Source organism: Homo sapiens, chromosome 16 (assembly GCF_000001405.40).
Source record: "Homo sapiens chromosome 16, GRCh38.p14 Primary Assembly".
NCBI lineage: Eukaryota > Metazoa > Chordata > Mammalia > Primates > Hominidae > Homo > Homo sapiens.
Window position 1 is genome coordinate 449,871 of NC_000016.10, and position 12,766 is coordinate 462,636.

The window sequence follows — 12,766 nt, forward strand, 5'->3', positions numbered from 1 at the left end:
AACCCGGGAAGCAGAGGTTGCAGTGAGCCAAGGTCGTGCCACTGCACTCTAGCCTGGGCGACAGAGTGAGGCTCCATCTCAAAAAAAAATTTTGTTTTAAAGATTAAGTTAACCTCGTCACAGTGACTGTGCCACCACATGCACAGGCCTTGCCCACACTCAAGAGAGGGGGTCTTAGAATTCTGCCTGCTACCATGGTCTAGTCTTGGCACACCTTCCTTGACAACATGGAAGCCAGGTCACTACCCAGGCCACCTACAAGGAAGTTCACCATTTGACCTGCCGAACGTGCACAACAAACTTTTTTTCTCTTTCTTGAGACAGGGTCTCACTCTGTCGCCCAGGCTGGAGTGCAGTGGAACAATCTTGGTATACTGCAACCTCTGCCTCCCGGGCTCAAGCGATCCTTCTGTCTCACCCTCCCGAGTAGCTGGGACCACAAGCATGCACCACCATGCCCAGCTCTGGCTAATTTTTTGTATTTTTGGTAGATATTTTTGTATTTTTGTTTCACTGTGGTGCCCAGGTCAGTTTCGAACTCCTGACCTCAAGTGATCCCCTGGCCTCCAAAAGTGCTGGGATGACAGATGTGACCCACCACGCCCAACCAAGTATTGGATAACTTTTTAGTTTCTTTTTCTTCCTCCTTTACTTCCGCTCAGGGGTCTAGGTCTGAGTCAGGGCTTGAGGGTGTCCCCATGGGGGCTGGTGTTACCCAGGACACTGCAGCGGCTAGCAGGGCTTGGCTGGGCTGGCGAATGAGGGCCCCACTTCTCTTTTTTGTACAGGGAAGGGACCGAGGATCTGAGTGACATCTGTAGGTCAGAGGGCATGCTGACCTTGAAAGCAAGGTGGGAATGGAGTTCTATGAGCTGAGGAGTCCCAGCTGGCTCGCATTCTAGAGAAGCGCCATAAAGGGAGTCTATTCATTAGCCCCAGGGAGAGAGCCTCCCGCTCCCTCCCTCCCCGCCCCCCACCCCACCCCACCCTTAGGAGCTGCTCACCTTCCCCTCGCCTGGGGCACACACCTGCTTCTCCAGGGACCAGACCTGAAGTGCAGGAAGGAGCCCCGCGGCCTTCTGTTACCGCAGCGCTCTGCCTGCCATCGTTGAATGTGTGGACTCTTTGGTTGCTTTCATAAATTCTGTTTTATTTCCTCATCATGTTTGCTGAAAGCTTGAATGTATCCACTTGGCTGTTTTCCAAGTATTCTCATGTGCATTTTAAGAGTCTCCTGTCTTTAAAATAATGTGGAGGCAGCTCTGAATATACTAAAACCATTGAATTGTACCCTTCAGATGGGTGATTTTGTGGTATGTGAATTTTATTTCAATGAAGCTGTTAACAGAAATAGTACAGAGTCCGTACTGTTGTGTTTTCTGGAGCACCTGGAGTCCCCTCTGTCCCTGGCCATCCCTCCTTCCCCACACCTCACCCCTGTACCTCACCTTCCCCACCCCCCTGCCTCACCCCTGCACCTCACCCTCCCCACGCTTCCCGTATCAGGGAGCTTCTTAAACACAGAATGGGGTGTTAAGATGATTGGAGGGCAGCAGCCTATTGGAATCCCGATGAACGTGGAAAGGTGTCAGGGAGGGGTAGCTGTGGTGTGGAGGAGCCCCACATTTTCGTCCCTGTCTTGTCACAAAGAAGGAGCCCATCGCTGTGATTAGAAGGACTTAGGCCGGGCATGGTGGCTCACACCTGTAATCCCAGCACTTTGGCAGGCTGAGGCAGGTGGATTACCTGAGGTCAGGAGTTCAAGACCAGCTGGCCAACATGGAGAAACCCCGTCTCTACTAAAAATACAAAAAATTAGCCAGGCATGGTGGTGTGTGCCTATAATCCTAGCTCCTTGGGAGGCTGAGGCAGGAGAATTGTTTGAACCAGGGAAGCGGAGGTTACAGTGACCCGAGATCACACCATTGCACTCCAGTCTGGGCGACAGAGCAAGACTCTCTCTCAAAAACAAACAAAGGAAAAAAACAAACAAAAAGGCCGGGGCTCGGTGGCTCATGCCTGTAATCCCAGCACTTTGGGAGGCCGAGGCGGTGGATTGCCTGAGGTCAGGAGTTGGAGACCAGCCTGGCTAAGATAGTGAAACCCCATCTTTACTAAAAATACAAAAATTAGCTGGGCGTGATGGCAGGCGCCTGTAATCCCAGCTACTCGGGAGGCTGATGAGGGAGAATCATTTGAACCTCGGGAGGGCAGATGTTGCAGTGAGTTGAGATCGCGCCACTGTACTCCAGCCTGGGCGACAAGAGTGAAACTCCTTAAAAAAATAAAAAGGAAACAAACAAACAAACAAAAAATCAGCTGGGCATAGTGGTGGGGGCCTGTAGTCCCAGGTACTTGGGAGGCTGAGGCAGGAGAATTGCTTGAACCTGGGTGGCTGATATTGCAGTGAGGCAAGATCATGCCACTGCACTCCAGCCTGGGTGATAGAGTGAGACTCCATCTTAAAAAAGGAAACAAAAAAAAGCCACAAAGAAGGACTTAGAATTGGGTGCTAAGCAGGCCTCTTCCTACTGATAGGTGGACACATCTATTTCTTTATTATTATTATTATTATTATTTTTGAGACAGAGTCTTGCTCTGTTGCCCAGGCTGGAGTGCGGTGGCATGATCTCGGCTCACTGCAAGCTCCGCCTCCCCTGTTCACGCCATTCTCCTGCCTCAGCATCCCGAGTAGTTGGGACTACAGGCGCCCGCCACCACGCCCGGCTAATTTTTTGTATTTTTAGTAGAGATGGGGTTTCACCATGTTAGCCAGGATGGTCTCGATCTCCTGACCTCGTGATCTGCCCGCCTCGGCCTCCCAAAGTGCTGGGATTACAGGCGTGAGCCACCGCGCCTGGCCTATTTCTTTATTTTTTAATTTTTTTTTATTTTTTATTTTTGAGACGGAGTCTCGCTCTGTTGCCCAGGCTAGAGTGCAGTGAGCGATCTTGGCTCACTGCAAGCTCCACCTCCCGGGTTCAAGTGATTCTCGTGCCTCAGCATCCCGAGTAGTTGGGACTACAGGCGCCCGCCACCACGCCCGGCTAATTTTTTGTATTTTTAGTAGAGATGGGGTTTCACCATGTTAGCCAGGATGGTCTCGATCTCCTGACCTCGTGATCTGCCCGCCTCGGCCTCCCAAAGTGCTGGGATTACAGGCGTGAGCCACCGCGCCTGGCCTATTTCTTTATTTTTTAATTTTTTTTTATTTTTTATTTTTGAGACGGAGTCTCGCTCTGTTGCCCAGGCTAGAGTGCAGTGAGCGATCTTGGCTCACTGCAAGCTCCACCTCCCGGGTTCAAGTGATTCTCGTGCCTCAGCCTTCTGAGTCGCTGGGACTACAGGTGCCCGCCACCACGCCTGGCTAAATTTTTGTATTTTTAGTAGAGACAGGGTTTCTCCGTGTTAGCCAGGATGGTCTCAATCTCCTGACTTCGTGATCCACTCGCCTTGGCCTCCCAAAGTGTTGGGATTACAGGTGTGAGCCACCATGCCCGGCCTGGCCACATCTATTTCTGATGGATAAAAGTGGATTCCTGAATATGTGATATGCCTCTCTGGGGACCTGTGGAATGACATTTTGCATGTCAGACCAGCACAGTGCTTTTATTCTAGACTTTTCTAAACCTTCCCCTCTAAACCAGGGAAAGCGAGTCGGTTCCCCGGTTCCTCATCATGGGTAATCAGAACAGATCTCTGATTTAGGAAGTTGGTTTTTTTTTTTTTTTTTTTTTGAAGCAGAGTTTTGCTCTTGTTGCCCAGGCTGGAGTGCAGTGGCGCGATCTTGGCTCACTGCAACCTCTGCCCCCTGGGTTCAAGCGATTCTTCTGCCTCAGCCTCCCCAGTAGCTGGGATTACAGGCGCCTGCCACCACGCCCAGCTAATTTTGTATTTTTTTTTAAGTAGAGGCGGGGTTTCACCATGTTAGCCAGGCTGGTCTCGAACTCCAGAGCTCAGGCAATCTGCTCACCTCGGCCTTTCAAAGTTCTGGGATTACAGACGTGAGCCACCACACCCGGCCAAGGAAGCTATTTTTGTACTTCAAACAGAAAAACTGAGCTGCCAGTGAGCACATTTCAGAGTAGGAAAACTCATATTATTCAGCCTACCTGTCTTTCTTCCAAATTTCAATTTAGAGATAAACACACCGTAGCTTTTAAGTTGCCAAGAAAAGAGACATGAGATGTACTCAAATGCCTTCATTTTCCCAGTAGGACCTCATCATTCCAGGTGGTTGAAGCATCCAGTAGGCGGGTCTTTGTTCCTTGCTCACACACCCAGTTAAAAGCAAAGGCCTCCCCTCATCTAGAGCCAACTCTGAGCAGGGTCGTTAAGCATCAACTGCCAAGCATAACCCCCTATAAAGTTGCTTGCTATAGTAGTTGGTGCAAAGCTGACTAAATGGGAATTAAAAACTGTCTCTAGCCAGGCACAGTGGCTCATCCCTGTAGTTCCAGCTACTCTGGAGGTCAGTTGGAGGATTGCTGGAGTCCAGGAGTTTGAGACCAGCCTGAGCAACATAGCGAGATCGCCTCCCTACAAAAAATACAAAAATTAGCTGGGTTTGGTGACACTCACCTCTAGTCCCAGCTACTCAGGAGGCTGAGGCAAGAGGATTGGCCGAGTCTAGTCGTTCACATCTAGCGTGGGAAACATGTTGTAGACCTCATCTCATATTGTATACCTCCTCAAAACCAAAACCAAAAAACCCCAAAAGCAAAAACCAAAAAAACCCACAAAACCAACCATGAAAACACCCCTGTCTCTGGAACTCCTTGTCCAAGGTCCCTGAGGCTAATGTGATTTGGAACAGAAGCCAACTTTCCTGCAGGTTTAGAAAGTGTCACATACAGGCTCTTTCTCATTCAAGCGTATAAGAACAGGCTTTCTTGGCCGGGCGCAGTGGCTCACACCTGTAATCCCAGTACTTTGGAAGGCTGAGGCAGTAGGCAGATCACCTGAGGTCAGGAGTTCCAGACCAGCTTGGCTAACATGGCAAAACGACGTCTCTACTAAAAATTCAAAAGTTAGCGAGGCGTGGTGGTACGTGCCTGTAATCCCAGTTACTTGGGAGGCTGAGGCACGAGAATTGCTTGAACCCGGGAGGTGGAGGTTGCAGTGAGCCGAGATTGCACTACTGCACTCCAGCCTGGGTGACAGAGCGAAACTCCGTCTCAAAAAAAAAAACAAAAAAACTAGGCTTTCTTTCTTTTTTTTTTTTTTCTTGGCCACATGCACCAGATTGAAGAATAAGCTTTCTTGTCTGTTCTCTATACAGTGATATGTAAAAATCACCACTCAGATCAAAGAATTGAGAACTGCGCAGCCAGGCGCCATGGCTCACGCCGGTAATCCCAGCACTTTGGGAGGCCAAGGTGGGCGGATCACCTGAGGTCAGGAGTTCAAGACCAGCCTGGCCAACATGGCGAAACCCCGTCTCTACTACAAAAATCAGCCGGGCGTGGTGGCACGTGCCTGTCATGCCATCTACAAAGGAGGCTGAGGCAGGAGAATTGCTTGAACCCGGGAGGTGGAGGCTGCAGTGAGCTGAGATCACACCACTGCACTCCAGCCTGGGTAACAGAGGCGACTCTGTCTCAAAAAAAAAAAAAAAAGAATTGAGAACCGCGCACACTCTCACAAGCACTCAGCAGTGGTCAGTCCATTCTTGGGTGGGTGATCGGATATGACTGGAGCAGGTGCTCCCTGTCACTGTTTTTGTTGTTGTTGTTGTTTTTTGGGAGATAGGGTCTCACTCTGTCGCCCACGTGGAATGCAGTGACGCAATCATGGCTCGCTGCAGCCTCAACCTCCCAGGCTCAGGCAATCCTCCCACCTCAGCCTTCCAAGTAGCTGGAACTACTGGCACGTGGACCGACGAATTTTTTGGAATTTTTTGTAGAGATGAGGTTTCACCATGTTGCCCAGGCTAGTCTGGAACTCTTGGGCTCAAGTGATCCATCCGCCTTGGCATTTCAAAATGCTGGAAAGCCAGGTGTGAGCCATTATGCCTGGCCTTAGTTTGGTTCAGGCTTTATACTAAGTGCATCTCAAATATTTTATTGAACATCCTTTCATTTCTAAGAGTACTTCAGTTATCTCTGTTAAAATGAACCAACCAGAAAGATTCCCACTCAAGTGCAGGACAACAGATATTAGTATCAAGAATTAAGGCCGGGCACGGTGGCTCGCTCACACCTGTAACCCCAGCACTTTGGGAGGCCAAGGCGGATGGATCACCTGAGGTCAGGAGTTCAAGACCAGCCTGGCCAACATGGTGAAACCCCATCTGTAAGGTGGGCTGAGTGGCTCACACCTGTAATTCCAGCACTTTGGGAGGCCAAGGTGGGCGGATCACTTGAAGTCAGGAGTTCGAGACCAGCCTGGGCAACATGGCAAAACATTGTCTCTACCAAAAATACAAAAATGAGCCGGGTGTGGCGGCACACACAGCTACTTGGGAGGCTGAGGTGGGAGAATCGCTTGAACCTGGGAGGCAGAGGTTGCAGTGAGTTGAGATTGTGCCACTGCACCCTAGCCTGAGTGACAGAGTGAGACCCTGTCTCAAAAAAAAAAAAAGAAAAAGAAAAAGAAAAACAAGGCTGGGCACGGTGGCTCATGCCTGTAATCCCAGCAATTTGGGAGGCCGAGGTGGGCAGATCACTTGGGGTCAGGAGTTCAAGACCAGCCTGCCCAACATGGTGAAACCCTGTCTCTACTAAAAATACTAAAAAATTGATTGGGCATGGTGGAAGGTAGCTGTAATCGCAACTACTTGGGAGGCTGAGGCAGGAGAATCATCCAAACCAGAAGGCGGAGGTTGTAGTGAGCTGAGGCCGCACCACTGCACTCCATCCTGGGCGACGGAGTGAGACTCCATCTCAACAACAAACAAAAAAACCAACAAAAAAACAACAACAAATCAAAACAAAACGAGCACTTGTTGGGAACAGCAGGGAAAGCCCTTTGTGTATATGTTTAGCTGCTTCGCGTCTGCTTTTAGAAAGAAGTGTCCGTGCCATCGGCAGGTGAGCCGCAGGCTTCAGTGCCATTGGGAGATACTGTATAGCCAGGCTTCCAGAGCCGCCTCTCTCCCTGCCCACGCTGGCCCATGTGCTGATCTAGTGTGAAGTTTACAGATAGCTTCGGGAACTCCTAGGAACATTTTGCTTATTATTGCTGTGGTTTCTGATAAGATAAGCTTTGTTGAAAACAGTATAATTCAAGTATGATAGTAACAACAAGATGCAGAAAGGCGGTTTCTCGTTCTGAAAGGTGCTTTGCTGTGAAGCCATAATACAGTGTGTTATTCGAGAATCCTGGGAGGAGTCTCTGGGATCCTAGTTGACTGTGGTGGGAGAACTTGTTCTGCTTTCCTTTCTTTCAGATTAGTGGATCATGTTTCTACATCCATAGTAGGAACAATGCAATTTGTCAGTAAGTTTTTCATACTGCAGTCACCCTGGAGCCAGTGACTGAGTGGATTCTCCACCATGGTGTTTCTGTAACTTATTGTCCGTCTGCTGGAGCGGTGCTGGCTGGCTTTGGCCACTCTGGTTTATGTCTCTTGGCTCGGTTTTCTGCCACTACTGGATTTTGCAGGGAAGGGCAGGCTGTCTCATTTTTCACAGTTTCACCTTTTTTTTTTTTTTTGAAAGCCTCTGAATTGAGTATTTTGGACTTGGAGAATTAGAACTATCCCCAAATCATCAATTACATGAAATCCATCTGTTCTACAGATTATAAAGAAAATATAATTAAAATGGAGTTTTAAAAATGTATACTTTGATTCACTCTTGTTCATTCTAACATGGTAACATGTAAAAGGGGCCTATTCTAGTTAATGATTTGTTTAAAAAATATTTGGTTAATGTTTCAGAATAAACAACTTGGTACTTTGTGTTCAATTAGTAGCTTCAGTGTGGAAATTCTTAGGAATCTTCAGGACAGATTGGCCAGTCTGGACTCCGGATTAGGTAACTCTCAGGTACCCAGCAAGACTCTCACATTCTTAGGAATGAGCTTAGGAATGAGGACTTTTGTGAGATAAGTGGGGAGATGTTTTATAAACTCCAGTTGTCTCCAGGAAGTTGGTTGATGATGGACTTCCGAGGCTAGAGTCACGCTAGCACACAGAGCCCTAGGATTGGGGCGATGGCCCCGGCCTCTTCCGTTGTGAAGGGGAAGCGGAAACTCAGTCTCTGGCTCAGGAATTCCACACTGTGGGGTCCCTTAGCTGGGGCTGGCCCTGTTTGAGCCTGACTTTATGAGGCATGTTGGCTGACAGTGGCGAGAGGGCCAGCCACGGGGGCCCGGGCCTTGCTCTGGTGCCCTGTGTGCTTCGGGCTCTCTGGATTGCCTCCTGGGCGATGCTATAGCCTTGCTGACCACGTGCTACACCCCCCATCCTTTTCCTGAAACAGAGCAGCTGTGTCCTGGCATCTCCAGCAGGGCTGCCCTTGAGGGTTCTGTGCTTGCTGCTTGGTAGCAGCCCCGGCATCTGGACTTCACCACAGGGCCTAGGGGGCCTTCCTCGGGTTCACCGATGCCCACAGGGCCTGGGGGGCCTTCCTCGGGTTCACCGATGCCCACAGGGCCTGGGGGGCCTTCCTCGGGTTCACCGATGCCCACAGGGCCTGGGGGGCCTTCCTCGGGTTCACCGATGCCCACAGGGCCTGGGGGGCCTTCCTCGGGTTCACCGATGCCCACAGGGCCTGGGGGGCCTTCCTCGGGTTCACCGATGCTCATCTGCCGTAACCTGCCTGAGGCCCTAGGGTTTTGTCAGTTAATGGATGTGGCTACAGCCAGGGCTCCTGCCAGCCTGTTGCCTCTCCCTGTCCCTGAGCATTTTCACAGTCCAGCCCGCCACCCAAGAGGGGCTTTCTTCAGGAGTCTGCCCCCTCTGTGGCTGAATGCTGCCTCCTTTTTCCTTTCTCCCTGGCCCACACTTCTTTCTTCTTTGCTCTCTTTTTCTCTTTTGCTGTTCTTGAAGTTTTCATTATGGAAGAGTTCAAACCCATATGAAAGTGGAGAGTAGTGAAATGGTGCACTGGTACCCATCCCCAGTCACAGCAACGTGCAGGCATGCCTCTGGTGACATCTGTGCCTCACCCCAGATTCTAGAGGTATTTCTAAGTATTTCAGTACATGTGTCTAAAAAGCAGTGCTCTTTAAAAAATTATGAAAATGTCATCACACCTACAAAAATGAACAGTTCCTTAATATCATCAAATATTTATCAGTGTTCAAACTTTTTTTTTTTTTTTTTTTGAGACAGAGTTTCGCTGTTTTTGCCCAGGCTGGAGTGCAGTGGCACGATCTCAGCTCACTACAACCTCCACCTCCCGGATTCAAGCAATTCTCCCGCCTCAGCCTCCCGAGTAGCTGGGGTTACAGGTTCCCACCACCACGCCCAGCTAATTTTGTATTTTTAGTAGAGATGGGGTTTCTCCACGTTGGTGAGGCTGGTCTCGAACTCCGGACCTCAGGTGATCCGCCTGCTTCAGCCTCCCAAAGTGCTGGGATTATAGGCGTGAACCACCACACCCAGCTTCAAACTTTTTTTTTTTTTTTTTTTTTAGCAGACAAATTCTCATTTTGTAGCCCAGGCTGGAGTGCAGTGGCACAATCTTGGCTCACTGCAACCTCCGCCTCCCGGGTTCAAGCGATTCTCCAGCTTCAGCCTCCTGAGTAGCTGGGATTACAGGCGAGCGCCACCACACCTGGTTAATTTTTGTATTTTTAGTAGAGATGGGGTTTTGCCATGTTGGCCAGGCTGGTCTGGAACCCCTGACCTTCGGTGATCCCATCTCAGCCTCTCAAAGTGCTGGGAATACAGGCGTGAGCCACAAGGCACCTGGCTGCAATGTGGTTTTAATTTAATTTGCATTTCTTTAAGGACTAATTGAGCATTTTTTCATGTGGTTATCAACCATTCACACATATTTTCTGATGAAATTTCTATTTAAGTTTTTTGCCCACTTAAAAAAAAATTGAGTTGTCTTTTTTTTTTTTTTTTTTTTGAGACAGAGTCTCATTCAATCACCTAGGCTGGAGTGCAATGGCGCAATCTCTGCTCACGGCAACTTCTGCCTTCCGGGTTTAAGCAATTTACCTGTCTCAGCCTCCTGAGTAGCTGGGATTACAGGCATGCGCCACCACGCCTGGCTGATTTTGTATTTTTAGTAGAGATGGGGTTTCTCCACGTTGGTCAGGATGATCTGGAACTCCCAGCCTCAGGTGATCCACTCACCTCGGTTTCTCACAGTGCTGGGGATTACAGGTGTGAGCCACCGCACCTGGCCTGAGTTGTCTTCTTAATTATAAGATTTCCTTATATATTCTGGACACAAGTCATTTAACAGATATATGATTTGCAAATACTTTCTCCCAGTCAGTGTCATTTTTTTGCTTTTATTAATGTCTTTTGAGTATGAAAGTTTTAAATTTTTATTTTTAAGTTTTGGGGTACATGTGTAGGATGTACAGGTTTGTTACATAGGCAAACGTGTGCCATGGTGATTTGCTGCACCTGTCAGCCCATCAGCTGAGTATTAAGCCCAGGTATTTTCTGTAATACTCTCCCCCCTCCCACCCCATCCCCTGAAAATTTTTAAATTTTTATGAAATCCAATTTACACTTGGCAGAATAAACCTGCATTCTTTCTGAAGAGTTTCATTTTGTGTTACGTCCATGTGTGAGTCACCCTACTTAGCGTTTATGATTTTTGATATCAAGGGTCTTTTTCCCTGAGTTATTCGCTACCAAGGACTCTGCAGAGCCAGGAAGGCATTTCTGAATGGGCGGTGTGTGCTTATCTATGTTATCTATGTAACATATCTATGTTGGCATGCTGGATCCTTGCCGGAACAATACCTAAAACTTCAGAACTGATCTCCCCACGTAAGACCCTGGCTGCTGGCGTTCAGTGGCCAGGGTCCTACTCCTGTGGTTCATCACGCCAGGTGCTGCTGGCAGCCCATTTACAGGGTGCTGCCTGTCCTGTGGCTGTGACCGTCTGCAGTGGCCCATGGAGGCCGTGCTGCCTCCTGCACGTGAGGAGTCAGAGGCTGTCACTGTCAGCACCGCCCCTGTTGGCGGCTTCTTTGCATGTGGTGAAAAAGCCAAGCTCGCGATACAGCCTAATCCCGATTCCCTAAAGCGGCCCGCAGCCTTCTTGGCACCAGGGATTGGTTTCATAGAAGACGCCTTTCCACAGACGGGCAGGGCGTTGGGGTGGTTTCAGGATGATACTGTTCAGATCATCCGGCGTTAGAGTCTCATAAGGAGCGCGCAACCTGGACCCCTCGCATGCGGAGCACACAGTAGGCTTTGCGCTCCTGTGAGAAGAACCTGATGCTCCTGCTGATCTGACAGGAGGGGAGCTCAGGCGGTAATGCTCCCTCACCTCCTGCTGTGCTTCCCCGTTCCCAGCAGGCCACACACCAGATCTCTCCCAGTCCGAGGTCCAGGGTTGGGGACCCCTGCTGTAAAGGCTTAGGGTAACCTAGTCTCATTTGGCAATTACAGGTGAAGGACTTAACTAAGTACTTGGATCCCAGTGGGCTCGGCGTGATCAGCTTTGAAGACTTCTACCAAGGGATCACAGCCATCAGAAACGGAGGTCAGTCATCCCCGCCATGAGCTCCCACCTCCTCTCCCGTTCCTCAGCCACCCTCTCAGCCACCTGCACATCACCAGGCTCCTCGTGCTGACTCTAACATCTTTCCTTCTCCTTGAAGCCCCCAACATACCCCAGGTTTCCAGGTGGTCTCTTTCCTTTCTTGTTACCTTCTCCTCACATACCCTGTTTTCCAGAATTTGCTGCGTTAACTACTTTTCCATAATGCTAGAAAGCAACTGCCCCCTTCCTCAAAGATTTCATGATGACAATTTGAGAATTTTCAAAATATTGAAAGAATGATTCCATGGCCACCCAAGTGGGTGTTCATCACCCGTGCTCTGCAGGCAGCACTTCGTCGCACTCTCTCCCCACGTCTCTGTCCATCTCCAGTCTGTCCCCCAGCCCCTCTTGAATGGGATGTGTTTGTAATCAGCATGCTTCCGCGCACACCGCCCTGAACACTGCAGCCCGTACCACCATCGTTCCCTAGAGCTCAGTGTTTGTTTCCAGTCTTCCTTTGAGTAAAAATTTACCTGCAGTGAAATGTACAGCTCACACCTGCTCCTCTGTGAGCTCCGACAGAGTCCTGTGCCTGGCAGTGCGGAGCCTGTCACGCACATCACTGTCCCCATGTGGGTGCCGCATACCCCTCGCCCTCAGGCAGTGCCTTCCCTCCTGCTGGCACCATTGCTGATTTCTGTCACCATGGATTAGTTTTGCCTATCTCTCTTTTTTTTCTTTGAGACTGAGTTTCACTCTTGTCACCCAGGCTGGAGTGCAATGGCCCGATCTCGGCTTACTGCAACCTCCACCTTCCGGGTTCAAGCGATTCTCCTGCCTGAGCTGGGATTATAGGCACCCACCACCATGCTCACCTCTACTAAAAATACAAAACATATAAAAATTTTTGTATTTTTAGTAGAGACGGGGTTTCACCATGTTGGCGGGGCTGGTCTTGAACTCCTGACCTCAGGTGATCCGCCTGCCTCAGCCTCCCAAGGCTGAGGTGCTGGGATTACAGGCATGAACCACCGTGCCTGGCCAGTTTCACCTGTCTTGAGGGTTCGCGTGCTCTCACTTGGCTTCTTTCCTCAGCACGATCCCTTCCCCAGCACGATCCCTTCCCCAGCACCATCCCT

The 12,766-nt window shown here is 49.7% G+C and overlaps 1 protein-coding gene across 7 annotated transcripts in view; it reads left to right on the top strand.

Annotated features, from left to right (window-relative positions):
* The window catches only part of RAB11FIP3 (RAB11 family interacting protein 3), a 97,363-nt gene that overhangs the window by 24,222 nt on the left and 60,375 nt on the right, over nucleotides 1-12,766 (top strand). For 6 of the 7 annotated variants that reach the window (NM_001370401.1, NM_014700.4, XM_017023907.2 and 3 more), the window contains exon 2: nucleotides 11,534-11,627. In NM_001370401.1, the coding sequence (NP_001357330.1) occupies nucleotides 11,534-11,627 (94 nt within the window). Of the gene's footprint in view, nucleotides 1-11,530; nucleotides 11,628-12,766 lie in introns of those variants that run through there. The other variant, XM_011522765.3, reaches the window with a different exon arrangement.